The sequence below is a fragment of the Homo sapiens genome, chromosome 12, assembly GCF_000001405.40.
Source record: "Homo sapiens chromosome 12, GRCh38.p14 Primary Assembly".
NCBI classification, from domain to species: Eukaryota; Metazoa; Chordata; class Mammalia; order Primates; family Hominidae; genus Homo; species Homo sapiens.
In genome coordinates, this window is record NC_000012.12 from 95,573,145 (window position 1) to 95,575,736 (window position 2,592).

The 2,592-nt window shown below is 42.5% G+C and overlaps 1 annotated feature.

Moving 5' to 3' along the window:
• Positions 981–1,110: an enhancer, noted in NCBI's record as "active region_6811". NCBI's record gives its function as "activates an Ori minimal core promoter by ATAC-STARR-seq in GM12878 lymphoblastoid cells {active_cell/tissue: GM12878}" and the evidence as "EXISTENCE:reporter gene assay evidence [ECO:0000049][PMID:35858748]".

Consider the following 2,592-nt stretch of genomic DNA (forward strand, 5'->3'; position numbering starts at 1 on the left):
AAGCTACTCCAAGGCTGGACTACATCTCTAGTTTCCTGAAAATGATTCCTCTCTAGGATTTACAGTTTGCTGGCTTTTAAGACATAATAGAAAACACAATTCTCTCCTTAAGCCCTGCAAGTCCTTGGCCGGGCGCAGAAGCTCACACCTGTAATCCCAGCACTTTGGGAGGCCAGGGCGGGGGGATCATGAGGTCAGGAGTTCAAGACCAGCCTGGCCAACATGGTGAAACCTCGTCTCTACTAAAAATACAAAAATTAGCCTGGCATGGTGGTGTGCGCCTGTAATCCCAGCTACTCAGGAGGCTGAAGCAGGACAATCGCTTGAACCCGGAAGTTGCAGTGAGCCAAGATTGCTTCATTGCACTCAAGCCTGGGTGACAGAGTGAGACGAGACTCTGGCTCAAAAAAAAAAAAAAAAAAAAAAAAAAAAAAAAAAAAAAAAAAAAAGCCTTGCAAGTCCTGAGGGGGCCCAGTGCTAAGACAAACGGATATGGTCATTTTCCCAAAAGGTTAAGGAGAATAGTTAGGTACAAGAATACCACACACCATCCTCAAACGGACAGAATTTTTGCCAGATACTGTTAATAAGTCAGATTTAATTGATAGATGGGTAAGATCTGAAATAACAGTCAGTCAAAAACAAGGCCTTTATTCTTCAAATCATTCTAAACTCCAAACTTCCCCCAAATGGCTTGAGATCACATTAAAGCCCAAACCTTCCATTTCTAAAGGAACAGAAATACATCGCAGTTCCCCGAATTCTCTTTCCCTTCAGCGTTGCCTGTCTACTCAGTTTAGACTGTTCTGAACTATCAGGCTCCGGGGTGGTGGCAGGCTCTGCTCACCCCAAGCTTTCCATTTTGATCAGTTTAATTCCCTAGGAGCCGACGACTGCCATCGGAAGGAAGAGAAATTGTGAGCTCGCGCTGGGCTGCCGGGGAGGGGAGGGCTGGCCAGTGAGGACTCCTATCTCTGGGGCTGGTCACCCAGCCTCAAACAAATCTGCATCACCCTGGGGGGTCTCACCCCTTTTTCTATGTCAATGATCCCCATTTGTCCCAAGTGCTTGGGGTTTCAGGTCCTGGTGAGCCATTCTCATTTATCTTCCTTTTGTTTTCTGCCTTAACTACTGACAATTATCATTTATTCTGTTCCTTTTAGCTTGGTGGTGAGTGCTGAGGCTTTGCTAGCCTTTCAGTTCCGCCATTCAGCCTCTTTCTAAAAAAAAAAAAAAAAAAAAACTGGGGCTTACCCAGTCTCTGACTAACAAGATGTCTTAGAGTTGGAGGGGATTTCTCAGTCCAGATTTTTCCTTGAATTTTCTTCCGTGTCAGAAAAGATTTAAAGACAAAAAAGTGCTCTTCCAATGGTGGCCGTGAGTCAGATGGCCCTGAATCAGATTTCTCCCTCTTCTTTAAAACCTTATTGAGGATCTTTCTGTCCTCAGCAAAATGCACACAATTTTAGAGGTTCACAGACCTTCTCATCTTTTAGACCTTTTTGAGGTTCTTTCTGTCCTCAGAAAAATGCACACAATTTTAGAGACTCACAGACCTTCTGATATCCATGAATGTACTGTCTCCAAATTAGGATTCCTGCCTGCGCTAGCGTACTTCTGGAGTTCTGAGATCTGATCTAGTATGAAGACCTCAGTAGTGAATGTGGCTTTTGAGATGGAATAATCTGATTTCCTCTCAGTTTTCCATAATTTTCAGCCTCACATATCAGAAAATCTGGGAGCACTGTGTGCCATGGCATGGGAATATGTAATTACTCTCCAACTGGCTCTCATATTTTCCTAGAACATCAACACCAACACTCTGTTAATTCATAGCCTTTTTAGAGGAAGTGGAGCTCCAACATTCCCATTCATTGCATGTGGCAGTAAAGTGACCTCTAGTGGACTTTCCTGGTAGTTTATAGAAAATTCTGGAATAAGGAGCTGTCAATTGTGGGTAGAGGGACAGATTATTGAAATCAGATCTGCTGGGCACTGAAGTTTATTTGGCTGCAAAAGGTCAGCTTCAATGCCAAGTCTGGGGCAGATGAAGGGGCTACATTTGAATGAAGCAAGATTCATCATTGTTTCAAAGTGGCTTCAAGAGACTTTGAGTACCCTGGAACTAACATTTCTCTAAAGAAAGATCAAGGATTAGGTCATGAATAGACCAACCCATTGGATTGATTTTGGGGGACAAAAAACCATCTCTTTGAAATAGTAAGCAGTAAGAATAATTTGAAGTCATGATGTACATTTTAGGTAAAAGCAATGGAGTGAATATTCCACATTTTATGTTCTGAGTGGTGGGACTTTAGGTGGGAGGAAGAGAAGGAAACTAATATTATTAAAGTTCCAGCTGAGGGCTAAACATTTATTTTAATCTTCATAAAATGTCTGAGAGGTAGTTTTATTTTTAGTATCATCTCCAGCAAATAAATTATTGCATACGATTTGATGAATTCTGACAGGCTCTTCAATCAAGTGCTATAGGGACCCAGGAATGCTGTGATTACCTGGGGAGAGAGAAGGGGGAGGAGCAGCATCAGAAAGGAATGAACATTTGTGCAGGCTATTGTGTTGTCCAGTAGA